General features: G+C 46.9%; 1 long non-coding RNA gene across 3 annotated transcripts, besides 1 other annotated feature; it reads left to right on the top strand.

Annotated features, from left to right (window-relative positions):
* Positions 1-58: 58 nt before the first annotated feature.
* On the top strand, positions 59-22,168 carry LOC107984942 (uncharacterized). 3 transcript variants are annotated; one of them, XR_001737979.2, is made up of 3 exons: positions 59-243; positions 21,309-21,422; positions 21,702-22,168. It is a non-coding gene; the product is annotated as an uncharacterized LOC107984942 (long non-coding RNA). The 3 variants fall into 3 exon arrangements; XR_001737978.2 differs by adding an exon at positions 15,855-16,300 and having other exon boundaries at positions 21,309-22,168; XR_007065850.1 differs by having other exon boundaries at positions 21,309-22,168.
* Positions 11,674-11,861: a silencer, noted in NCBI's record as "fragment chr1:37827606-37827793 (GRCh37/hg19 assembly coordinates)". NCBI's record gives its function as "represses an EF-1alpha promoter that drives an FKBP-Casp9 reporter gene in an ReSE screen in K562 erythroleukemia cells {active_cell/tissue: K562}" and the evidence as "EXISTENCE:reporter gene assay evidence [ECO:0000049][PMID:32094911]".
* Positions 22,169-26,848: the final 4,680 nt, after the last annotated feature.

Below are 26,848 nucleotides of genomic sequence, written 5' to 3'. Positions count from 1 at the left end.
AGCATCTTCCAGGAGGAAAGCTTCCTGTCACTTCCCTGGCCCTCATCCCCATGATGTGGTTTCCTCCAAGTCAATCTCATGCTAATGTTTTTCCATTACAGCATCGTATTAACCAGAAGCTGCATTTACCTGGACCATACATCAGCCCGAGCCTGTCTCCAGTGAAGAGTTGTGTCGTGCTGGAGGGACCATTCATCACACCTGCCCAGCTTCTGGAGGCTCTCCTGGGCTTTGGTGTCTTAGGTCAGAGCTGTCACAAACATCCCACATTCACCTTGTCCCTGTGAGGGGAGGGAGCTCCAAGTACTCTCTGGCCTTGAGAAATGGCCCCTGATATTCCATTGCTTCAGCTATGACATCTCTGTAGCATCACAATCTATGCAACTTGGATAGAGAGAGGCTATGGGTCACACCATCAAATCTGATTGAAATTCATCTTCAATCAATCATGTTGATGTTGTATCTGGAGCTGACCTGGAAGCCTGAATATTCCTGGTCTTATTTACTTCTCACACCAACCCAGCTATCCCCATTTCAGGGATTACAAAATGGAGCACTGACTTGCTCAGGGTTACTTATGCTGCAGAAAAGGGGCAGATCCAGGGTCGGAACTTGGGTCTCTTGACTCCAACACCAGTGCTCGTGCCACAAAGCCAGCTGCCTCAGTGAGTGGCTTCCTGGCTGGATGGCTGGTTTCTCAGGGTACTGACTTGCTTTGAATGTCCTTTCTCCCTTTGCCTCCCCAGAGGGCGGCTTATTTCTTTAAGCTCAAGAAGAGGGAAAAGAAAAAAGGAGACGGTGAAATAAATTTATTGCCATGTTAGAAACATTGGATTGAAGAATTGATCCCTACAGCTAAGTAATTTCCCTCTTTCGTGCAAAATATAAATAAATCTGTATGGCTTACGCTGAACGATGCGCCCGGGCCGCCGGCTGGATTTCACGACATGAAATGCCCTTCAGAGTCTTGGGCTTCCTCTCCTTGACCCCACCAACGAGGTGTTCTAAATGGCCCTTGTGTTGTCCCTGAAGGAGGGATGTTGGCAGCTCCCTCGTCTTGCCTGCTACAGTTGGGCAGACTTAGGGATGTCTTGCAGAGTCCTTCCACAGCTCAGCTCGACCCTGGCAGGTGTGGCCCAGAACGGCTGATTTCCAGAACCGTAAATATACCAGCTTAATTATTACTGTTATTCTTTTCTCTAGGCAAAAGGGGAGGAGGTGGAGGGTGGGGGGTTGGTATCTCAAGTGTGTGATTATGTAACACAGAGCACTCCTTTTCCCTAAAGGTTTCATCTAATTTCTGTTAAGAGATGGCCAGTGTGGTGTGTCCAAATTAATCACGGGGGGAAGCTTTAGTCATCCTGCTCTCGTTGTGGTTTAATTTTAGCATGTTTCCCTGGGGTAGCCCTCCTTCCCAGCCTCTACCTAGTCTTAGGTAATTACAAGCCTGGAAAGAAAGAGGGAGTGTTGGCTGGCAGATGCCACCCACTCCTTGGCTGGCTCAGAGACAGAACTTGGCCTCTGTACTCTCCTTCTGCCAAGTGGGCTCCTCTGGGCTTGGAGTGTCAGGAGAGGATTTTATAAGGTGTAGGAGTTTCCCAGGAGACAGATGTCCTGGCCTCTTTGTGTGGTTTTCCATCTTGGAAGGGCCCAGGAGTGCAGATAGACAGCCTCTAAGGAGTTAGGAACTTAGGACCTGAGGAAGAGGATGAAGTCTGGCTTCATGCTGGGGAACTTGTGGTTGCCTCCCAGAAATCTTGATGTGGGACTTCAAGTAAAGAAGCAGGAGCTTCCAGGGTATGTTGGGGTCAGGCTGTGGGGAGGGGGCCAGTCTCTCTTTGCCTGCTTGTTCTTTAGGACAAAGTCTCTGCAACTTTTGTCTTCAGCCCCTGCAACACTGGCCATCCTGGGGGAAGGGAGACAGACAGCTCAGCTCATCACTTGGATTCTGCTGATGGCTTTGATTTTCCATCCCCATCAGGAATGAGTGTGGAGGGTCTGCCCAGGTGGGACCCTCAAGTCCCACTCTTTGCTGCTGGCAGGAGTTTATGAGGATCCTGGGTCCAACCCCCATCACTCCTGGTCTTGTATTTACTGCTTCCTAAAACTAAGAGAGCCTTGACAAGGATAGAAATTGGTACCAGGAGCTGGGTTGTATGAAACCACCTGCAGTGGGCATACACCATACTTACTGGTCTTTTTAGCATCAGAACCACCTTCCCATGTGTATTAGTCAGGATTCTCTTAGAGGGACAGAACTAATGGGATATGTATATATCCATATATATATGTGTGTGTGTGTGTATGTAGGGGAGTTTATTAAGTATTAACTTACATGATCACAAGGTCCCACAATAGGCTGTCTGCAAGCTGAGAAGAAAGGAGAGCCAGTCTGAGCCCCAAAACTGAAGAATTTGGAGTCTGATGTTTGAGGGCAGGAAGCATCCAGCACAGGAGAAAGATGTAGGCTGGGATTTTCACATTTTTCTGCCTGCTTTTTATTCACTGGAAGCTGAATAGATTGTGCCCACCAGATTAAGGGTGAATCTGCCTTCCTCAGCCCACTGACTCAAATGTTAATTTCTTTTGGCAACACCCACACAGACACATCCAGGATCAATACTTTGTATCCCTCAATCCAATCATGTTGACACTCAGTATTAACTGTCACAAGTCCACCCCTTGTCAACTTGAACCCATACGCACCTCTGAGAGCATACATAATCTTCAAATAAAGACAATAACAAGGTTGTAATTACGGCTAACATAATACAACTATCCTTTGTACAACTGGAAATGCACCAATCCCCAACCCAAATGCTATTACATAAAGTTAACAATACTTACATGCTGACATGAAGTCAATAAATCTTACGTCACATTATAAAGGAAAAAGGAAATAAAATGAATTTTTCTTTGGTAGAAGTGTATACATGCATAAACATGTTTTTAACAAAAGAGGAAATACTCATGACAGTTACAGTCTTCATTTCTGCAGCTGGTCATGCGGTTGTAGCTGGTATTGACTACTGCCTTCTACTACTACTCATTCTGTATTCCCTTTGCCTTCAGCAAGTACCTCAGCAGGTCATGTGTGTGTGTGTGTTTGTTTTTTGTTTTTGTTTTTTCCTGGTGGGGAGTGACCCAGACCTTCATTCCTGAAGGGTCTGGGCCATCTGTAGTCCTGCCTGGATTGGGCTGTTGTAGTTTCCCATTGACCTTAATCACAGGGCATGGTAATACTAAGAGACACCCTAATGGTCTCCTGTATTCCATGCATACTCTTCCTTACCTCCGTTGTGGAGTAGTAGACTGATCTCATCTTGATAGTCGGGGTCAATCACCCCAGCCAACACTGTAACTCCCTTCTTAGCCTGTTGACTTCAAGGTAGGAGGAGCCCGAAGTGTCCAGGTAGCAATCTTAACTTCCAGTTTAATGAGATCATTGTTGTGTCTCCTGGTGGCAGTGTTCCTCCCTCTAGAACTAAGACCCATAGGCCAGCAGAATGTAATGTTGCAGGAACAGGAACCAAAAATTTTTCTAGTGGATCACGAGGGGTGATGGTGAGTGGTGCCACTTCCACTTTCATCCCTTGATTCCTGGGCCTGTGAATCCTGGCTATGGGAAAAATACTGCCATATATTGGACACTGATTCAGAGCATACACAGCCTTCTGGAGAACTTTGCCCCAGCCCTGTGAAATATTGTCACCTAGTTGGTGTTGTAATTGCGACTTCAGAAGGCCACTCCACCATTCTATCAATCCAGCTGCTTCAGGATAATGGGGAACATGGTAAGACCAGTGAATTCCATGACCATGAGTCCACTGCTGCACTTCTTAAGCCACAAAGTGAGTGCCTTGGTCAGAGGCAATGCTGTGTGGAATATCATGATGGTGGATAAGGCATTTCGTGAGTCCACGGATGGTAGTCTTGGCAGAAGCATTATGTGCAGGATAGGCAAGCCCATATCTGGAGTAAGTGTCTATTCCAGTGAGGACAAACCTCTGCCCTTTCCATGATGGAAGAGGTCCAGCATAATCAACCTGCCACCAGGTGGCTGGCTGATCACACCGAAGAATGGTGCCATACCAAGGGCTCAGTGTTGGTCTCTGTTGCTCGCATATTAGGCACTCAGCAATGGCTGTAGCCAGGTCAGCCTTGGTGAGTGGAAGTCCATGTTGCTGAGCCCATGTGTAACCTCCATCCCTGCCACCATGGCTACTTTGTTCATGGTCCCAGTGGGCGATGGCAGGGGTGGCTGGGGAAAGAGGCCGAGTGGTGTCCACAGAACAGGCCATCCTATCCACTTGATTATTAAAATCCTCCTCCACTGAGATCACTCTTTGGTGAGCACTCACATGGGATACAAATATCTTCATAGTTTTTCACTACTCAGAGAGGTCCATCCATATACCTCTTCCTCAGATTTCTTTGTCATCAATTTTCCAAACATGCTTCTTCCAATTCCCTGACCGTTCAGCCAAACCATTGGCTATAGTCCATGAATCAGTACATAATCGCAGATCTGGCCATTTCTCCTTTCATGCAAGGTGGACAACCAGGTGCACTGCTTGAAGTTCTGCCCACTGGGAAGATTTCCCTTCCCCGCTGTCCTTCAGGGATGTCCTAGCAAGGGGCTGTAGTGTTGCAGCTGCCCACTTTTGGGTGGTGCCTGCATATTGTGCAGAACCATCTGTGAACCAGGCCCTGGTCTTCTCTTCCTCTTTCAAGTGATCATAGGGAACTCCCCATGAGGCCATCAGTGCAGCCTGGGGGAGAGAAGGCAGGGTGGCAGGAGTGGAGACCATGGGCATTTGAGCCACTTCCTCATGTAACTTACTTGTGCTTTCAGGACCTGCTGGAGGCCGATCACATATATACCACTTCCATTTGATGATGGAATGCTGCTGTACACGACCCATTTTATGGCTACATGGGTCAGAAAGCACCCAGTTCAGCATAGGCAGTTCAGGTCACATGGTAACTTGACTCATAGTCAAACATTCAGTTTCCACCAAAGCCAAGTAACAGGCCAAGAGCTGTCAAAAAGAGAGTAGTTATCTGCAGAAGATGGCAGGGCTTTGCTCCAAAATCCTAGAGGCTTCCTCTGTGATTCACCTATGGGAGCCTGCCAAAGACTCTAAACAGCATCCCTATCTCCCACTGACATCTCAAGCACCATTGGATCTGCTGGGTCATATGGCCCAAGTGGCAGAGCAGCTTGCACAGTAGCCTGGACCTGTTGCAGAGCTGTCTCCTGTTCTGGATCCCACTAAAAACTGGCAGCCTTTTGGATCACTCAATAAATGGGCTGGAGTAACACACACAAATGAGGAATGTGTTTCTTCCAAAATCCAAATAGGCCCACTAGGCATTGTGCCTCTTTCTTGGCTGTAGGAGGCACCAAGTGCAGCAACTTATCCTTCACCTTAAGGAATATCTCGACAAGCCCCACACCACTGGACCCCTAGAAATTTTACTGAGGTAGAAGTTCCCTGAATTTTAGTCAGATTTATTTCCCATCCTCTGACACACAAATATCTCACCAGTAAGTCCAGCGTGTTTGCTACTTCCTGCTCACCGGATGCAATCAGCATAATGTCATCCGTGTAATAGACCAGTGTGATATCTTGCAGAAGTGAAAAGTGATCAAGGTCTCTCTGAATAAGTCTGTGACACAAAGCTGGAAATTTGATATACCCCTGAGGTAGGATAGTAAAGGTATATTGCTGGCCTTACCAGCTGAAGGCAAATTGCTTCTGGTGGGCCTTATGGACAGGAATGGAGAAAAAGGCATTTGCCAAGTCAATGGCTGCATACCAGGTACCAGGAGATGTGTTAATTTGCTCAAGCAAAGAAACCACATCTGGTACAGCAGCTGCAATTGGAGTCACCACTTGGTTAAGCTTACAATAATCCACTGTCATTCTCCAAGATCTATTTATCTTCTGCACAGGCCAAATGGAAGAGTTGAACTGGGACGTGGTGGAATCCCCACCCCTGTGTCCTTCAAGTCCTTGATGGTGGCACCGATCTCCACAATCCCTCCAGGGATGTGATGCTGTTTTTGATTTATTATTTTTCTAGGTAAAGCCAGCCCTAATGGCTTCCATTTGGCCTTTCCCACCGTAATAGCACTCACCCTACCAGTCAGGGAGCCAATGTGGGGGTTCTGCCAGCTGCTAAGTATGCCTATGCCAATTATGCATTCTGGCACTGGGAAAATGACCACAGGATGAGTCCAGGGACTCACTGGACCCACTGTAAGTCAGATCTGAGCTAAAACTCCATTAATTACCTGACCTCCACAAGCCCCTACTTTAACTGGAGGACCACAATGACGTTTTGGATCCCTTGGAATCAACGTCAGCTCAGAGCCAGTGTTCAGTAGTTCCTGAAATGTCTGATCATTTCTCTTTACCCAGTGCACAGTTACTCTGGTAAAAGGCTGGAGGTCTCCTTGGGGAAAGATGGGAGAAAGATTCACTGCATAAATTGTCAGTAATGTAGTGGGGTCCTTCCTCAAGGGGACCTGGCCTCCCCTTCATTCAGGGGAGTTCTGGGTCTCTAAACTGGCTCAAGTCTGGAAATTGATTGAGGGGCTGTGATTCTCTGTTTCTATAATTCAAATTAGTCTTTTGTCCATTTGACCTAGGAGTTTTCTACTTGTATAAATTAAGTAGGAAAGCAGGAGGCTTCCTATCAATTTCACTTCTACGAACACCATGATTAATTAGCCAGTGCCAGAGTGCTACGTGAATCAGACTATTCTGATTGCAGCTTTGCCTCTGCTGTCCATTATGGTAGCTATGCCCACCTTGCCTTTGATGGTTGAGTGCTGCCACTTGGTCCCTGTCACCTCGAGATCCAATTACTCCCATTGTATTTAAATTTTGTAGTTGAGTGACCGTGGTTCCCACCATTAGTTCTGACATACAAAAAGAGCAATTACAGGGCTCTTCAAAGATGCAGGTGCTGCCCTCACAAATCTATTTTGCAAGGCATTGGTCAAGGGTATATCTTCTGGACTTTCCCAGCTGGGATGAGTAGGTCTAAAGTGACTAATCAACTCCACCATCCCAATCTCCCTAAGCCTTTGGATGCCTTCCTCTACATTAAACAAAGGGAGATCAGGCATTTCCAGCTGACTCACAGTGGCCATCTTTTAATCCATAGTTCAGCTAACCATGCAAATAAACTATTAGAACTTTTTTTTTTTTAACTCCTCGAGCTGCAACATTAAATGCAGAGTCCCTACTTAGTGGACCCAAATCAATAAATTCAGCTTGATCCAACTCTATGTTCCTTCCACCATTATCTCATGCTCTTAATATCCATTGCCGTGCTTGTTCTCTGGATTGCCATTTATATAAATTAGAGAACTCAAACCGTTCTTTTCGAGTGTAGCACACCTCCTCATGGGTCACACTCTCAACCTCATTTCCAGGGGCTCACCGGGACTTTAGTGTGGTTTTAGGTCTAGAAGCAAACAGGGGTGTTGGGGGTGGCTCCTGAAGAGAATCGACATTATTTTGCCTGGCAACTGCCTCAGGAGAGGCCATCACTGTTGCCTTAGGCAGCACAGAGTTTATCTCCTCAGGCAACGGTGGAAAGGCTGATGGCAGCATGGGTCTGGGAGGGGATGTTGCCACTACTTGGGATGAGAAAGCTGTTCCTTTTGGCAAAAAAGGTTCATCAGAGTTCACAAACTCAGTGTCCCCAGCTTCATCAGGGTCCTCCCACGTGTCCCCATTCCAAGTTTCAGAGTCCCATTCTTTTCTAATCAATGCCCTCACTTTAACAGTAAACACCTGGTGAGGCTATGCATGCACCTTTCGTTGCAGGTCAGCCACTTACATAAGAGCTTGTGTCTGTTTTTCCACAATTTCAGCTCTTTCTCTACAGGAGATAAGACTCTTACTGAGGGCAGCCTCAGCAGATTTGAGGCTTAGTATCTGCTTTTGAAGCTAGGAGACAGAATCCCTGATTTCATCATTTTCTTTCATCACTTTGTCAACTGAACTTAGGAGCAGCCAACTAGCTTCATTATATTCCTTGGTTCTCCACATATGGTCAAAGGTATTATGTATAGAGTCACTAAACTCCTTGCCTCTCATGAGTGGTGAATCAGGAGTGTCAAATGCATTTATTTTGTATAACTCTCTAAAGAGTTCATGCCAAGGACTATCAGTGTTCTCCATACTATTAGAAGTAGAGTCCTTAGCATTTTTGGATCTAATCATATTAAGCAGTCACCTCCAGAAACCCCAAAACCAACAAAGGAACTCCATCCTTAATATTCTGTTCCTTTAGAACCACTCCTGGTACCAAAATCTGTATTAGGTTCTCTTAGAGGGATAGAAATAATAGGATATATATAGATATAGATATAGATATAGATATAGACGGATATATATATCCATATTTCAGCTAACCAAGCAAACATATATATATGTTTATTAAGTATTAACTTACACAATCGCAAGGTCCCACAATAGGCTGTCTGCAAGCTGAGGAGAAAGGAGAGCCAGTCTGAGTCCCAAAACTGAAGAACTTGGAGTCTGATGTTCAAAGGCAGGAAGCATCCAGCACAGGAGAAAGATGTAGGCTGGGAGGCTAAGCCTGTCTCTCCTTTTCACATTTTTCTGACTGCTTTATATTCACTGGAAGCTGATTAGATTATGCCCACCAGATTAAAAGTGGATCTGCCTTCCCCAGCCCATCGACTCAAATGTTAATCTCTTTTGGCAATACCCACACAGACACACCGGATTAATACTTTGTATCCCTCAATCCAATCAAGTTGACACTGAGTATTAGCCGTCACACCATGTTTGGGAATTTTTCCAGCTTTTGATTCTTGGTGGGAACCAGACAGCCTCAGTAGAGAATCTGAAAACTCACTTGCCTAACCTTCCTTGAAGTTGGGGCCTAGGCTTGGAACTTTGGTTCTGCAGAGCAGACACACCCATCCTAGACTTTGACTAGGGAGTCAAGAAACAGGTACCTACAGAAGCCATTCCTGTGAGACGGCAGCAAAAGCAGCAGCTGCAACTTATTTCTGGAGGCATCCATGGAGGAGGTTCTAGGAAACCTGAAATATGGAAATATGAAAATCGGGGCTGCTGGTGGTAGTGTGGGGCAGAGGGCAATGGGACTCTCCTTCACACCCAGGGATGAAAGGATCACATCTGTGCTTCACTGCAGTGAGGCACCTAAGAAGTGATCCCTAGGAACCCAGATGTGTACCCACCATGGGGTGGCCAGAGACTTGGCAATGTACTCTGTAGGAAGAGTGAAGCAAGTGGTTACTTCTTTGACTTTAAGAGAAGTACAGCAGGAAAGAGGTGAGCTCTGGCCCCAGTTTTCTGCAGGATGAGGCAAAAAAAGTTGAAATCATGTAATTCTGCTGCAGAAAGCTTTTTCTGCCAGCTGCTGGTTCTCTGAGATCCCTGAGGGCCAGGTCTAAAAGAGAATGCAGGTTGTTCAATGAGAGCTTTGGCTAAGTTCTCCACTGGGCCCTGTTGCCAGAGTCAAGGCTCAGGGGATCCCCAGTTCCTGCTCCTTTGAAGCTCTTCCAATGCGGTGTTCCTACTGGACATGGAAGAGTTGTCCTTTCTCTCTCTCTCTCTCTCTCTCTCTCTCTGTGTGTGTGTGTGTGTGTGTGTGTGTGTGTGTCTGTGTGTGTGTGTGTGTCTAGGACTTTAGCCCAGTATGGGTCTCTGCCCAATATGCAAGGACAGGACAGATTAGGGCTTTCCATTGCTCTTAGGGGTGAAACCCAAACTCTGTATGACCCAAAAATCCCTGTGGCTTTGGTTATTACCCACTTCTCCAGCCTTAAGTCTGGCTACAATTTACTTTCTCTCCTTAAGCCACGCTGGCCTTTCTCACAGGCCTTTAGAAAGAGTTAGGATTTGTTCTGCAGATGCTTTACATATATTTTCCTGCTGTCTGGAACACTCTTCCTGCCCTTTCACTGGCTAACTCCAGGCCTTTCTCCATTCTTAAGACCTCTACACAAAATCCGGTTTGTCTTTCTGAACCCAATTCTTTGACTGTGCCATTCTCTGTACGTTGAACAGATCTATTACCTCCTTTTGTGTAGGTGCTGTACCTCTATTAATGCAGCCTCTGAGCACTAAATTATTTTTGGCAGTAGGTTCATGGGATTGACTCAGCTATCCTTACAGACGTTTGATGTCCCTGGAACTGTCCTCTCTTTCAAGGGCTATGAATTCAAGTTTGCTCATGTGCAGCTCATCTCTGAAAACAGCTGGATCTGGCTTCAAGGCTGGTCCGCATCCTGCTTGCTCTTATTCCAGGCTCTTTGGCTTCTCAAATGCAAAGCTGCTGTTTTGTGCTTCTTGCAGCTTACTTTGGCTCTCCTTGTGAATATAATTGAAATTTCACAGTCATCAGTTTTTAAAATGATTTTCTGCGCTTTGGAAGTCAGTGCGAGTCACAAAATGTCTTCAGAATATTCTCAAAGCTTCTTGCAGAAGTGAATCTGTTTTCTTCCTGCCTTTCCACAAGCATTTGCTAAGCCCCTACTGTGTGTCAGGCTCTGAGCTCAGTGCCTGGAGGAGGAGGGGGATGGGAGGCAAAGGAGGATGGGGCGGGGCCCCGCCCTTGCTGCAGTCTAGTGGGGAACTCAGACAAGCACGCTTGCATCCAGGAGCAGAGGCAGCTGTGATAAATACCAGGCAGAGCGTCCAAGTGCAGCGGGAACACAGAGACTGGCGGACGGTGGGTGGGGGAAGTGTGGAATGCTCTGCTGGCTTGATCTTGCCCCTGTCTGGAAACCATTGCTCTGAGTTTCTAGGTTACAGATGTGGAGATGTTTTCAAGGGACTGGGAAAGTTTTAGAATCATTCTGCCTGGAGACAGAGAGATGGCTATCATGACCTTTGTGTGATTTTAGTCCAGCCACTGCCTTATCTAGACCTTGTCCATGCTCTCGTCTCCTTGTGAGTATGTACACGCTGGTGCTGGTTCCCCTGCCTGGAGTAGATGTCCCTCCCTGTCACCTGTACAGATCCCTCCTTAGTCCCGCTGTCTCTGGGAAGCCTTTCTTGGTGGCTCCAACTGTAGGGAGAATGCCTTTCCTGATGCTCTGGGTGCCCTAGGGGGCCACTGGCCCTTTAGCCCCACCTTGGACAGCTCCAGAATCCTTTTTCTCTGGGCTCTGTACTGGAATCCCCTGTTCTGCCAGGCATCATTCTTTTCCAGCATCAGTGACATTGACTGAGAGTCATCGGAGTGTGGTGGTTAAAAGCAAATGCAGTCAGATAGTCACTCCACAGTGGAGAGACCTAGAAACATCAGCTTAACCATGTGGTCAAGGTGACAAGTCATGCTGGTATCATGCGGCCCCTGATACGATGTGAGGAGAAGGGTGCCACACCTCTGTGGTACGCTTCCCCAAATCTGTAACCTCAGACTATTCATGAGAACATATCCATCAAACCTAGACTAACGAATATCCTGTAAGATACCTGATGCTGCTCTTTAAAAGTGTCAGGGTGGTTGGGCGCGGTGGCTCGTGCCTGTAATCCCAGCACTTTGGGAGGCCGAGGTAGGTGGATCACCTGAGGTCAGGAGTTTGAGACCAGCCTGATCAGCATGGTGAAATCCCATCTCTACTAAAAAAATAAAAAATACAAAAAATACAAAATTAATTGGGCGTAGTGGTGCATGCCTGTAATCCCAGCTACTCTGGAGACTGAGGCAGGAGAATCGTTTGAACCTGGGAGACAGAGGTTGCAGTGAGCCAAGATTACACCACTGCACTTCAGCCTGGGCAACAAGAGCGAAACTCTGTTAAAAAATAAAAGTGTCAGGGTCATGAAAGACAATGAAAGACTGACAAATGGTCACAGATCAGAGGAGACAAAGAGACAGGATGACTAAATGCAATGCGGGATGCTGGATTAGGTCCTGAAACAGAAAAAGGACGTGAGTGGAAAGACTGGGAAAATCCTAATAATGTCTGTAGTTTGGTTAATAATAGTGTGCCATGTTAATTTTTAAATTTTGATAAACATACCATGGCTAGGTGAGACCTAAATATTAGAGGAAAAGGGTGAAGAGTATATGAGAATTCTCTGCTCCATCTTTGTAACTTTTCCATAAACTTAAAATTATTTTAAAATAAAAAGCTAAAAAAGGACAAGTGTTCTTAACTAGAACACATGGCCTCAAATCCAGCCCCTCCACTTCCTGGCTGCTGAACTTTAGACATGAAACTCAACTCCCTGAGCCTCAGTTTCCTCATTAGGAAAACAAAGGCCTATTTTTCCTCATTTGGAAAACAGTGTTCATCTCAGTAGGCTTGTTGAAAGGATTAACTGAGCTAATTATGAGGTACGCACCTAGAAGGTGCCTGGCACACAAGAAGTAATCAATAAGGTTTCACTATTATTATTGTTATTGATGAAGGAGGAGTTCCAACTTCTACAAGGTGGGAGGGATGGGGAATATGCTGGGTGACAGAATTCAATAAGGTATGAATAATTCAACATGATTCAATTAAATAAACATCTACGGACTTTGTCTGTGTGCCAGGCTTTGCACTGAGGAGAGAGAAGTCAGACCTGGTCCTTGCCTTGGCGGGGCTCAGACATGAGTTTGGGGAGTCAGACCCAGATGCAGATGATGACACTGTGGGGTACGTGGAATCAATCAGAGGCAGGTTGAAGTGGCCGTGAGGTCAGAGGCAGGAGCTCTTTTGGAGTCTGAGACTGGGTGAGGAATCCGAGAAGGCTTCAAGGATGTGGTGGCACTTGAACCAGGTTTTGATATATGAATAGGAATTTTCTAGCAATACGGATGTGGGCATAGAGTCCTAGTAAGTACATTATGGGTAACTTAAGGCATATGCTTGATGATTGACCCAAGTTATTTCAAATCTTCTTCTCTGTGCTGCAAAGTGGGTACTTTTATTACCCATTTATGATGGGGTAACAACAGAAGCCCAGGGAGGGAATGGGGTTTCTCCAGGTTATAGACCACTAGTTGGCAGAATTCAGATTCCAACCCCATCTGTCTGACTCCCAAGCCACCTGCCATGAGGAAGGAGCAGTGTGCCCCAAAGTGTGGCACCACTAGGAGAACAAGTGCTGGTGGTGTGGTGTGATGTCGTCTTCCAGGTGTGGAGGAGGAGGAGGGAGACAGGCTGGTGAGATGGGGCTAGGCAGTGCCTGGGGGACCCTCACTATTCCCAGGAGTTTGACTCTCTGATAGGCCCAGGGAGCCACAGAAGGGTTCACCTGGGGGCATAGGGTGGCCAGATCTGTGTTTTAGACAGCACACCCTGGCTTCAGTGTGGTGTGCCAGGAGGCAGAGTGAAGGCAGGGACCCCACGGGAAGAAGGGGAGGGAGATGATGGAGAGGAACAGGCAATGAGAAGGCAGCATCCCGAGAGACCCGCCAAAGTGAAATGAAGGAATGTGAGAAAAATGTGGCTTTACTAAAACAACCGTGAAAAAACACAGGGGTCCTAGTAGACCGTGACCTTTGTGTGATCCAGCCGAGTGATGTGGCTGCCCCCAGGCAGAGGGACCTCTCATAAACAGAGAAGCAGCAAGGTGCCAGTCCCCCGTTCTTGTCACAGGCCACTCCTAGCTCTTGAGCTCAGTGCGTCTGGCTGTGTTCCAATGCTGTACTCCAAAGGGCCCAGAGACACAGTGGGGGCTGTTTCACATGAGGGTGGCCTTCCGAATCATACCCAGGAAAGGGCAGTTGAAGAACCTGAGTGTTCAAACTAGAAGAGAAACAACTTAGCAGAAACAGAGCAAAGGGGCCTGTGAGCCCCAGAGGACAAGCAAGGGGCATGACAGTGAGTCTGATTTGGGATTTCCCTGAACTCACCTTTGTTCCTTCCGCTTCATGCTGCTTTCTCTGAAGCTAGAAGTCCTTTGCTTCTGTGGTCCACAGGGTGGGTGGAAGAGGCCCCGTCCCACAGTTTCTGAGCTCCAGTTGCCCAGTGGGACTTGATCTCCACCTCGCTCCACCTCCAGTTTCCCACAGTCCTCAGGGAAGGGACTCATCGGTGCAGCTGGAAACGGGGCTGGACAGAACCCAGTAGGTGTGGCATAGCTCACCTATCTGAACCCCTCTATCTGGGCTCTTCCTGAGTTCATAAAGTCTTATTCACCAACCTGAAGTGGTTTTGGAGGAGGAGGTCTGGAAGCAGAGGGTACGTCATTCCCTGAAGATCTGTCCTGCCTAGAGAAGCTGGGACTTCTCTCATTCTGGATCAACATTAGATTGCATTTGCTCATTATTTGCTCATTTTCCATGACTGGAGACATTTCCGGTGTTTGAACACTGAGACTCTGTGCCCCTAGAGTCAGGGCTTATGTTTGGGGAGCCACCCTAAGCCACAGCCTCTGTGGCTCCTGTGCCCCTGGACTCTCCAGGGTGTGGGGTTGTGATGCTAATTAACTATAAACAGTGGGCTTGAAATTGGAATTTTTCTGGGCTCCAGGTCCCTGGTCATAGCATCGGATGCTCATTAAACCACAGGTAGATGAATTGGCTCTGTGGATGCTGACTGTGCAACCTTGGGGAGGTGGCAGCAGCAGCTGGGATTCCAGCTCCATGAGGTGCTGACAACACAGTGGACAGAGTCGCTGGCACAGGTGTTGGCATGGTTTCGTGGTCTCATGCAATGGGCCCAGATCCCAACCTCTCTCTGTTTCTCCTCCCCTGCCACCCCCAGCCCCCAACACACACACACACAATCCTGGGAACTGGGCATGAGGGATCCTGGCTCTCACTCCTCTCTAGCTAACTAGCTGTGTGACCTTGGGCAGCCTAAACTCTCGGGGCTTCAGTTTCTACAAGATGAGGGGTTGGATGGGAAGATTCCAGAGCCTTCTTAGCATAGGGTTTCCCATGAGATAGAGATGCCAAACATCAGATCAATCATGTGGAGGAGGTTCTAGAACCCGAACCATCCAGACTGTACCAGCTGGGGAACACAGCCACCATATTATTAGTCTTTGATTGTAAGAGCAGCAAGCTCTATCTGCTTTTTGCGAGGGCTCCCCTTCCCCCTGAAGTCTCCCCTGGCTGGACAAGGTTGCTCTGTTGGGTTGCTGGGGGCAGCAGGCTCTCCGATCTATGCCTTTTCTTTAACTCTGCTCTTCCTGGGGAAGCCCTCTGTGCACTGTCATTTGCAGGTGGCAATTGGTCACTGCTATGCGGCTCACTTCTCAGTGTGAAGACCACTTCCTGGGCACTCTGCCTGGCACAGCTGGCCCTGCTTCTGCTTCATCCCTGCTCCATGTCCCTTAGACCCTGCCGCAGGGCACCAGAGCTGGGGTGGAGAGAAGGCCCACCTCTCCTTCTTCCTCCTGTGTCAAACCTGGCTGTGTGGGCACCAAAGCAGCTCAGCCTGGGCCCAAAGTCTCACACAGTCTTTCGTGAAAACAGCTCCTTCATCTTCTGGGCTTTACCCCCTCCACTGAATTCAATCTCAGCCCAGCAGGTTGAGCTAGGGCAACAGATGCCATCTTACCCCATGCCTCTGCTGTTTTCTCAAACTTCCTTTCAATGCAGAAAAACACTAGAAGCTCCCAAGCAGATCAGCCAGCGGTGGGTAAAGAGGAGGTGATCACCTGAGCTGCTCCACTCTCTGGAAGCATCCAGTATCTTGCCCCAGCCCAGCCCTGCCCAGTCACTGCCAGTCTCTCTATTTGATTTCTGTCCCAGTGTTTACATCAATCAGAATTAACCAATGTTTATCAAGTGCTTATTGTGTAGCCAGCATGGGGGAAATTACTTTTTTCTTAAAAAAAAAAACAAAAAAAACTTTTCTTTTCTGTGATTTTTTTTTGTCCCAGATCTCTCAGCCTTTTGGAAAGGCTGCCTTGAATTATTCAACCTGCAGTACAGATCTCTGGAGAACATAGCCTCACAGCTACTTTAATCACTAGAAAGGTTCGGAGTCAGTTATAATCAGCTGGAGTCAATGTGGAAATGCTCATCTCTGGCTTGAAAATAAGATCAAAAGGAAGACCAAGGAGGAGATAAAATCTGAGATGAGAAATGGATGTTGGTTTCCAGAAGTTCTTAGGTCTTTCTCCTATTTCCAAAGGGGGTCACAGATCTGAAGCCCCAGCCCCTGGGAACTCTGCTTCCCTTGAGGCACACTACTGTGGATTTCTCTGACCTTTTCTTATGACATTGGGAAGCCAGTCACACCTCTGCCAATTCAGGGACAAGTTGAGTGAGACGGGACCTCTCTCTGATGGAGGTTTGGTGGACAGCTGTTATCTTCTAAGCTTGTGTGAGTAAAGGGAGGTGGAGATGAAGATGGGGATGAGCAGGGGAGGGCTCTTTCTACCCTGAGCTAACCTGAGATTGGGCATGTTCAGGCAAGGGCTGGGGGAATGGAGGGGCGGAGGGCTGGCTGGAGGGAATCTGGAGACATCACTAGGGTGGGAAAGCATCCCAAGGGAGGGGAGAGTGGGGTCTGCCAGCTTGCTCTTAGGGGAGAGGCAATTCTGGGTGCTCACCTGAGTTCCTGCCTGAGTCCTTGGAAAGTGATGGGGGAGAGGACTGCAAGGAGAAACAAGGAAATGTGTATTAGTCTGTTTTCACACTGCTATAAAGACGTACCCAAGACTGGGTAATTTATAAAGAAAAGAGGTTTAGTTGACTTACATTTCCGTATGGCTGGAGTGGCCTCAGGAAACTTACAATCATGGTGGAAGGGGAAGAGGCATGTCTTACATGGTGGCAGACGAGAGAGCTAGCAAGAGCAGGGGAAACTGGCTTATAAAACCATCAGATCTTGTGAAAACTCCCTCACTATCATGAGAACAGCATGGGGAAAACCACCTCCATGACCTAATCACCTTCCACTGGATCCCTCCCTCAACACGTGGGGATTACGGCGATTACAATTCAAGATAAGATTTGGGTGGGGACGTAGCCAAACCATATTGAGGTATTTTTGGTAAAATCTCTTAGGCTCAGAATGGTCCCACTTGTGTCATCTGTGTCTGAGAGTGTGGGGGCCATGGTCCCCAGCTTATCTCCAGGGCTTCAGAGAATGCAGAGCAGTGCTGGTGGGTTGAGGGCCCAAGTTTTTTGTCCCACTGATGGCTTGATGGTGACAGGCCCTCACCTGCAGCAGCTGGGGGGCACTGAGGCAGCTCAGGTGGGACTCAAGGAGACCTCTCCCCTCTCCCCCGTTGCCCACCATACTCTGCCTGAAGATGGGTCAGCATTGATGGCAAGAAACTGTGCCCCCTCACCACCTCCAAAGGAGGAAGGATGCTTGTTGCCTAAGTGAAGGAGCCCCTGGAGGCCACAGCTAGGGCTGGTGGGTGTGCCCTCCTCTCTCTTGCAGCCCTTGCAGGAGATAGGATGGAGTGTTGGGCAGGGCTGTTTCCAGTGGAAGATCAAGTTCTCTGCCTGTGTTTCTTTTCCCTCCACTCTCCCAACTAGTAGGTCTTGCGGGGGTGGAGTGGGGGCACTCTCCTTTACCCCCATCTCACTGCTGCTTTCTCTCTGGTCCTTGAGGGCAGGGCGGGGGTGGGGCTTGTGCTGGAGCCAGGTCTTGTCTCATAGTAGTGAGGCCTGAGGTCAGGTTGGGAAGCGGGTGACTTAGCCTAGCTTAGGGAAAGGGGTCCTGGGTGGGTCCAGCCCAGTGTGCTTGTATTAGGGGTTGGGACTGGAGCCCAGCTAAGAAGGTGCTGGCCCTGGGTCTTCCTTGTTATGTCTCTTTTCCCTAAGGGCCTTTCAGGAGGAGGGAGGGAGCTGGGCCAAGGCAGGATTTGGGAATTCTGGAATGGCTTCGATGTCATCCTAACAATTCAATCTCAGTAGCACTCCAGTCATAAAACCCCAACCCAGTGGTGGTAGAGGGTGCTGGCAGCCTTGAGAGCCTGGGGCAGCAGCATTCTCGGCCCCCATATCTGTGCCCTTTGTAGTGGGTACTGGCCATGGCCACAGGAGCATGGGCAGCAGAGGCTGTGGCGTCAGCTCTCACTGATGGATTCAGATCAGGAAAGGTGGCAAATGTCAGCTGTAAGGTGGCAGCCGAGAGGGTGTGTTTATGGGCACATGTGAGTCGCCCATGGGGTGCCCAGGCTGTCTGGGGTCAGTCTCACTGAGCTCTGTCTCTGACCAGCTGTGTATCCCTATCCTCTCAATGCCTCAGTCTCTTCACCTGTAAAGTGGATAGAAGATTGCACTCAGGATTAACAAGCGAATGCATGCGAAAGCACTTGGCAAAGTGCCTGGGATGTAGAAAACCCTCAGTGAACAGCTCTTCATGCTCAGTTGTGTCTCTGTGTCCTCTTAGAGACTGGAAGTCCTGCAGCAGCACATGGAAGTTATAGCCAGAGGAATGCTGCTTGTTGCTGTGATCGTAAACTCCTTCATACCCCACAGGCTTGGGGGTTGGCTAGAAAATATTGGGTAATTAGAAAAACATTTTTTTCATTTGCAGAGCAGTGAAGCCGCAGCAAACGGATGGGCCTTGCCCTCAGCATTTCCCCGTTTCAGTAGAATCAGCAAAAAGTCAATTACATCCTATTATAAACATGTACTGCACAAATGAAAAAAAATGAACGCTACAGAAGGGTATAGATTCCTCCACCCTGGGGGGCTGTTGGCAGTTTGATGCATTCCCTTCAGACCTACCCTTACATGTGTGCAAACATATGTCATATGCAATCACCATGCTTCTGTCCCTCCTTCTTTCCCTCCCTCCTTCCTTCTTTCCCTCCCTCCTTCCTCTTTTCCCTCCCTCCTTCCTCCTTTCTCTCCCTCTCTCTTTCCCTCCTTCTCTTGCTTTCTTTCTCTCTTCCCCTTTCTCTTCTTTCAGAGAAGAATCATACCACAAACATATTATTGACATTGCTTAGTACTGTTCTTCCCCCCCCCCCATTATTGTGTCAGGTACATCTTATATCAATACATATATTTCTATCAAAATCACCCCCACCCCCACCATATTCTCAGAAGATTTAAGGAATAAAAAGGGACAAAAGCTTTTCTTAGGGTTTAAGGGACAATCTAAGAAAGAAATCACTTTTATAAAAGCCTTTAAAAATTATTTTCCCTGGTTAAAACATTAATGTACTTTTAACCCTCCTCCTGTAAAAAGCATTATGTATCTCATAATCTCACTACTCATACATAATCATTGTTAACATTTTGGTACAGTTCTTTCTAGTCTTTTTTCTATGTTCACTTTTTTTGTGTGCTTGTGTGTGTGTGTGTGCTTGTGTGTGTGTGTGTGTGTGTGTATTTAAACAGAATCACACCATAACATTTGTAATTTGTGTTTTCTACTTAACATTATTTCATAGATGTTTTCTCTCACAGCTATGTATTATATGGGCCCAAATATCTGGTAGCCAAGCATATAAGGGCCCAATTTTCCCATCTGGAAGATTTAATTAAAAGTTTTGGGGCCAACTTGAGTATACAAATATTTAGGGGTAGAGCTGAAATCATCAAATGCTAACTGACAATGTTTAATTGACAAATTCAGTTACACATAGACATTTAAACCACATATAAAATATGTTAAATTTAGAAAGATTCATTTTTCCATTTCACATTTCACCAACTCTGTCAGCATCTTTGACATCTGTGCTTCCATCTTCCCTGGGGCTGCTTTTATGAATTACCCAACATAGCTGTCCGGAGCACACCATTTTCCCTTTTGTCTAACTTGTTCGAGATTAAGATGCAATGCTTTTAAAATCTGTGTACAATGTTGTCTCTGGCAATTGTATTTTAAGCCACGAGTACCTATTTGCATAACATTAGGGCAGTCTTTTCATTTGTCCCATAAGTGTGTATTCGTGATACCCACAACGTAACTGCTAACTGGATTGCTTCTCAAGGTGACCTTTAAAGGCTTGTTTACAATGACAGCCAACACTTGCAATTGTGAGGTTGTAACCCTGAGAATAATTACTAAATCTCTTAAATTCCTTTGCCTCCTTTTTGCCGGTTCCCTCAGGTAACCCCTATAAACATCCCCAACTAGCATTGATTGAGGTCAGGTACGGCTAATGTGATTTCCCCGAACAGTACTTTGTTGTTTAAAATAAAGTAACTAAGAAAGAGTATGCTTAATAGGAAAGTCATTGTAAGAATTTGAATTTAAAGAGATTTTCTGTTTTCTAAGATAATTGTGGGAAAAATCCCCATGTTACATTTGGAAATACATGATGTATTTTTAAAGACAAGATTAATGGAAGCATGGCTTTCCATCTTTTGGCCGCATCCTAATTTATTTAATCATTCCTCTATTGTTGGACAGTTCAATTATTTCCACTTTTTTGCTATTATAAATAACAAGGCACATTCTCGTACTTATATCTCTGGCACATTACAGATTATTTCCTCAGGACAAATTCCCTCAGGGTCAAATGGTGTGGATATTTTTAAGAATCTTGATACATCATGCCAAATTGCCCTTCAGAAAGGTTGCATCAATTTATAATCCCACCAACAGTGAATGGTGCTGGGCATTTTATAATAAATATGGAACATTTCTGAAATTAATGGGAAAATGCTTCTTCATAAACTCATTTGGCTTTTCTGTAGAGTCAATTTATTGGAACTATAGGAGTCTTTAGAATTTACCTGGTCCAACTGGTTTTCCAATACTCTTGCATACATCTTGCAAAGGGAAACTCTTTACTCCAAAGGAGCCCTTGCTAGAATTGGATGGTTATGACCTTCTGTAGTTCAGCCAAAGTATGCTTCCCTATAGCTTGCACAATTAAACAGATATTTACTGTGCTCCTCCAATGTGCACCCAGCCTAGCTCAATGTTGGACACACCCACTCATTGGAGTTGGGGGATAGGGAAATTGAGACTAATGGGTACCAACTCTGAAGCCGGGTACCAACTCTGAAGCCAGGCACCACAGCAGGCACATCTCCATGAAGCTGAGGTTATTGTGCCATATTTTAGAGATAGAGAAATTAAGGTTCAGAGAGGTTAGGCAACTTGTCCAAACTCACACAGCTGGTAAACTGATGGGCTGGGATTAAACCCAGATCTGTCTTATTTTCTAAGACCCCATATTGGCTTTCCTAGGTCTTCTGTTTTGGAGCTGCTGAAAACGAGTTTGCCCTACAGGATAGAGTCTCCTTACCTGCCACTCCGTGCCATATCCAGAGAGCATACATGCCACAGTTGTCAGGACAGCCCTGATTTCAAATCTCCTGTCTTGTTGTCCCACAAGTACTCCCACTGTGGTGGTTTGCAATTAGTCAACTTGGTTAATTTGCAATTCTGCTTTCCTTTGTGGACTCAGGTTAGAGCTGGGCAAAGAGGAAGCTGCTCAGGATTGGAAGGTGGGAGAGAAGCATCAGCCATCACTCTCTGAGGTCGCCACAGTCAGATGGAGTGACAGATGAAGAGATGCCTGGTGGGTCCCAGCTTGTCCTCGTTCTTCTCCCTTTGCCTCCAGCTCTTCTCCCTGGCTACCTACCCTGTTGGCCAATGGCGGCTCATGCTCATCACCAGGCATGTGGCTGCAGACACACGGAGGTGGGAGCCATGCAGAGGCACCGGCTCTTCACAACCCTCTCTGCCAGCACCCGTTTCAGGGTCCTCCTTTGATGTTGGGTGTGCTTGGCTTCTCCAAGTGACAGGTTAGTGCCTCCCCTGGGCCTCCATCTGATCTTCTGGACCTTTGCTTCCGCAGCTTCCCTCAATTATGCAAATTCTAGGTCTGATTCCTAGAATAAATACTGGATCTCAAAGCACTCACAGGATTCTGCTCCCCTGGCTGAACTCTGGTGGAAATGATGTCATGTGACTTCGAAACTAGGCCTTAAGAGTCCTTGCAGTTTTCCCTGTCCTGAGGCCACATCATGCTGTGAAAAAACCCAACTTAGCAGAGGCTGAGAAGTTACACGGAGGAGAATGGAAGAGCCCTGGTCAATACACACAACTGTGAAAAAAATAACTCACTGTAGACATTTTTTTTAGGCTGAGAAAATATTTTTCTATTAATTGGTTGATCTGTCATTATATTCCATTGCATAGTCAGTGATAATATACTAAGTAAAGTTTAGTGTAACCATATTAGAATAATCTAAATTTGAAGATATTTATTAGCTTTATTAACTTATACAAAATAAAATTCACTGCTTTTTTATCGTGGTAAAATATAGACAACATACAATTAACCATTTCAGCTACTTTTAGGTGTGCAGGTCAGTGGCATTAGGTACAGTCACATTGTTGTATAAACATCATCACTATCCACCTCCAGAACTTTTTCATCATTCCAGACAGAAACTCTGTAGCCATTACACAACAATTCCCCATTCCCCCACCCCTTAGTGTAGGTTTTTTTTTCCCCATTTTTTTTTGAGAAAGGGTCTCACTCTCTCACCTAGGCTGGAGTGCAGTGGCAGGATCATGCTCACTGTAACCTCCAACTCCTGGGTTCAAGTGATCCTCCCACCTCAGCCTCCTGAGTAGCTAGGACTACAGACGTGTGCCACCAAGCCTAGCTTTTTATTTTATTTTTTGTAGAGATGGGAAGGAGGCTGGCTATGTTGCCCAGGTGCCCTCAGTGTAGTTTTAGGCCACTAAATTTTGGGGTACGTTGTTACACAGCCGTAGATAACTGAACATTCATACTTGGTGAGGTCATATGCTCTAATTTTCTAGTTTAAAAAATAGTTTCTCAGGCAAAACTATGGAGATGGTAAAAAGATTTGTGTTTGCCAGGGGTTCTTGGGGTAAGGGTGGGAAGGTATGAGTAGGTAGAGCATAGAAGATCTTTAGGGCAGTGAAAATGCTCTGTATGATACTATAATGGGGATACCCAGAGAGAACCATGATGCAAACTATGGACTGTGGACTCTGGGTGGTGATGATGTTTCATTGTAGGTTCATCAATGGTAACAAATTCTTTTATACCAAATGAGTTACAGAGGAATGCTGGTCTAACAGAGGAGAAAGGTGCCCAGAGAGAGGGTCCTAGGAAAAGCATCTGCAGAGGGAGTTGGGTCCAGCCCTCTTAGCTTTGGGGAGGACAAGATAAGTAAACACAAGGATTCACTAACCCATTCATTCACCATTGCCTTGCACAATGTTTGTTTCATTCTTAGCTATTTGCAGGGTACTTACTGAGCTCAGAGTCTCCTGGTGCTCTAGTGGGGGGCATTGATAATGGGGGAGGCCAGGCATGTGTGGGGCAGAAGGCATATGGGAAATCTCTGTACCTTCCTCTCAACTTGGCTGTGAATCTAAAAACAAAAAGTCTTAAAAAATAACAACAACCAAAACATAGTTGCCCAAACTCTGTGTCTCCTCTTCACTAGCCCAAATAGCACTGGAATATTTTCTTCAGCTACTTCTCACGTGGCGAGCTTTCAGATCCTCTCCACCCTGGTGAGTCGGCCCTGGGTCCTGGGCCTCACCTATTTGCCTTAAAGTGGGGCCTGCAGAAAGAACATGAGGCTCTAAGGATCACGTGTTGGAGCAGCACAGTCCAGGGTAGAGTTTGTAAACTGATGGCCTGAGGCCTCATCAAGCCCCCAGATACGTTTTATTTAGCACACACTATTGACATGCATAATGGTTGAAAATAACTTGAAATTGTTTTTAATGTTTAAAATTCTAGAGATTCACATACAAATCTGGATTTCTGGTTTCTCTCAAAAATAAGAAGATTGGGCCACACTGGACCACATTCCCATGAGACAGAGCTCTTGGCTGGCTGAGTAGAGGTGGCCCCTATTGGGGGCAGAGTTGCGCTCTCTAGCCTTTTATAATCCAGACCAGGCCCAGCTGTGCTGACTTCCCAACCCCTTACACCAGCCCCTTTACTCCTGTGTTCTATGTGCTGCTAGACACTTGGGCATTTGAGTTTCAACATCTAGTCTAGAGAAATAGCCACCTCCCATGAGTGGGCCTATGCTTCTGTTAATATGGCCTTAGGGTTCTAGCTGTTTGGCCTCTACACTCTGAGCTCAGAGTCTCCTAACCCTCTGAGCTTTTCTTGGGAACTTGTCCTATGACATCTTGGGCACTGTATTAGTCCGTTTTCATGCTGCTGATAAAGACATACCTGAGACTGGGCAATTTACTAAAGAAAGAGGTTTATTGGACTTACAGTTCCACGTGGCTGGGGAGGCCTCACAATTACGGTGGAAGGTGAAAGGCACTTCTTACATGGTGGTGGCAAGAGAGAGAATGAGAGCCACGTGAAATAAGTTTCCCCTTATCAAACCATCAGCTCTCATGAGACTTATTCACTGCCATGAGAACAGTATGGGGGAAACTGCCTCCATGATTCAGTTATCTCCCACACACGGGAATTATGGGAATACAATTCAAGATGAATTGATGTATTGAATTATGGGGGTACAATTCAATATGAGATTTGGGTGGGGACACAGAGCCAAACCATGTCAGGCACGATGCTTAAGGGAGGACATAGGGGCGTTGGCGAGGTTTCCACATTTTCTTGGAACTGAGGGAGAAAAAGAGATTGTGGCAAGCAAGTGCCTGGCTGAGGTTTTGTGATGAAGGCAGGGGTTTGATTTCAGGACCAGACTCTGGCCTAGATCCTGGCCTGACAGCTCCTCCCACAGCATGGAATTACTATTACCACGTCCAGGGCTCCCCGACTGGCCATTGCACTGTGAGCTCCAGGAGGGCAGAATGGTGATTTCCTAGATTTCCTAGAGGCTGGCAGTACAGTTTTGTTTGTTTGTTTGTTTGTTTGTTTGTTTGTTTTTTGTTTTTTAGATGGAGTCTGTCTCTGTCACCCAGGCTGGAGTGCAGTGGCATGATCTCAGCTCACTGCAACCTCTGCCTCCTGGGTTCAAGAGATTCTCCTGCCTCAGCCTCCTGATAGCTGGGATTACAGGCATGCACCACCACACTCAGCTAATTTTTGTATTTTTAGTAGAGACGGGGTTTCACTACATTGGCCAGACTGGTCTCAAACTCCTGACCTCAAGTGATCCACCCACCTTGGCCTCCCAAAGTGCTGGGATTACAGGCATGAGCCACCATGCTCGGCTGTAGTAGAGTTTTAATAAGTGTCCGAGTAACACGTTCAAAGGGGGAAACAACTGAAAAATTATAGAGGAATGCTGACATGATAGGAGAACAGTGCCCAGAGAGGAGTCCCCAGGGCAAGCATCTGCAAAGGGAGCTGGCTCCAGTTCTCTTAGCCTTGGGGAGGTCGGGATACACAGATGAACCTGGGACGTAAACACAGGATTCACGAACCCATTCCTGCATTTGTTCTCAGCTACGTGCAGGGTCACTGCTGGTTCTGCATGTGGTCACTGACACTCAGTGATGGGGCAGGGAAGGTCCACTTCGACTGAAATAAAAGGTCTGACGGAGCAGGAGGCTCCAAACCCGTGGAAATGCTCACACCTTCTCTTGGGAGCTTAGGGCATTGGTGGGCATCTAGCTGAGTGTTCTCAGTCCTGCCTTCAGAGTTAAACAGTCTCATGAATCCATGTTCTGCCACTTTTTAGCTGTGTGACATTTGGCAAATCCATGAGCCACAGTTTCCTCACCTGTAAAATGGAGAAACTACCCACTTTCTGGGTAATTGGGATGATTTTCTGAGATATTTATTTGAAGCACTCTGTAGAGTGCCTGGCTTGCCCCAGCCCTTCCATGAATGATGGCTTTTTTTTTTTTCCTGCTGTCATTAGAAGGCAGGGGAAAGATGCTGAGGGACCATGGCTGAGTGGTGGGTCCCAGCCTCCTGGGGAAGATGAAGGATGTGTCCTGGTGCAAATCATCACACAAGCCCAAAGGTGGGCGACCAGAAGATGGGAACAGCAAAGCCCTGGACACTTGCTGGCCATCTCATTTGGTTGGACAAAGAGGCCTGAAGCGGTCTTGCCTGTTTTTGGTTTCTCTGAGAGGAGAGGAAGTGGCCAGGGGGAACTGGGTCTAATTCTATCCAAGATGAATGGAGTTAGTGATGTGGAAAAGACACAAACTTGGAAAAACATGAACAAGTCAAAGTGGTGCCTGGAAAGGGGAAAGTCAGACTCTCTGGAAGTTGGAGGGGGGCTGCTGGGAAGTTCAGATACAGGTTGCACGAATGTCTAAGGCTAAGGCATGAGAGGGAGGACCAAGTGAGACAGCAGGTGGGTCAAGAATGGGATTCTGGGCTGGGCGTGGTGGCACATGCCTGTGGTCTCAGCTACTCGGGAGGCTGAGGTGGGAGGATGGCTTCAGCCCAGGAGATTGAGGGTGCGGTGAGCCGTGATCGCATCACGGCACTCCAGCCTGGGTGACAGAGCGAAACCCTGTCTCTATTTTAAAAAAATGGGATTTTGCCCACACAATGGAGGATGATCTCATAAGTGTCAGGTGACCAGTGGTGCCCCTGCCATGGGGCTCATCTATCACTTGTTACTGACTTCTGGTGGGTGCTGCTCAGTGGGGCATATGTGCAGCAGGCCTCACTATGTGGACCTCTGGGCCTCTCCAGAGCGCATTCCCCATTTACACAGCTGGAGGGAGATCACCAATAATCCTGTTGCTCAGCACCTCCTTAATCTGCACCTGCTGGTCTCTAAGCTCTCTCCAAGTGGGCACTTTGATCAGGCACAGCTCAGGACCCACTCATGCGGAGAAAGCACAGTTCTAGGCCTGCTTTCCTCACCAAGCAGGCATTCACTCCTCAGGTTTGTGGAAACTCTGGCACCAGGGCTGGCATTTCCTAGATGAGGCACACGAAGAAGAACTAGAGCTGGGGTTGTCCTCTCTTCCTCCCAGGATGACTTTTTTTCATGTTTTCCTAAATTGCATTTTAAAATCTTATTTATGTTATTATACATTTGCATCATAAAT

Source organism: Homo sapiens, chromosome 1, assembly GCF_000001405.40.
Source record: "Homo sapiens chromosome 1, GRCh38.p14 Primary Assembly".
NCBI classification, from domain to species: Eukaryota; Metazoa; Chordata; class Mammalia; order Primates; family Hominidae; genus Homo; species Homo sapiens.
Note: the sequence above shows the minus strand (reverse complement) of the source record. Positions and strands in the feature narration are given on the sequence as shown.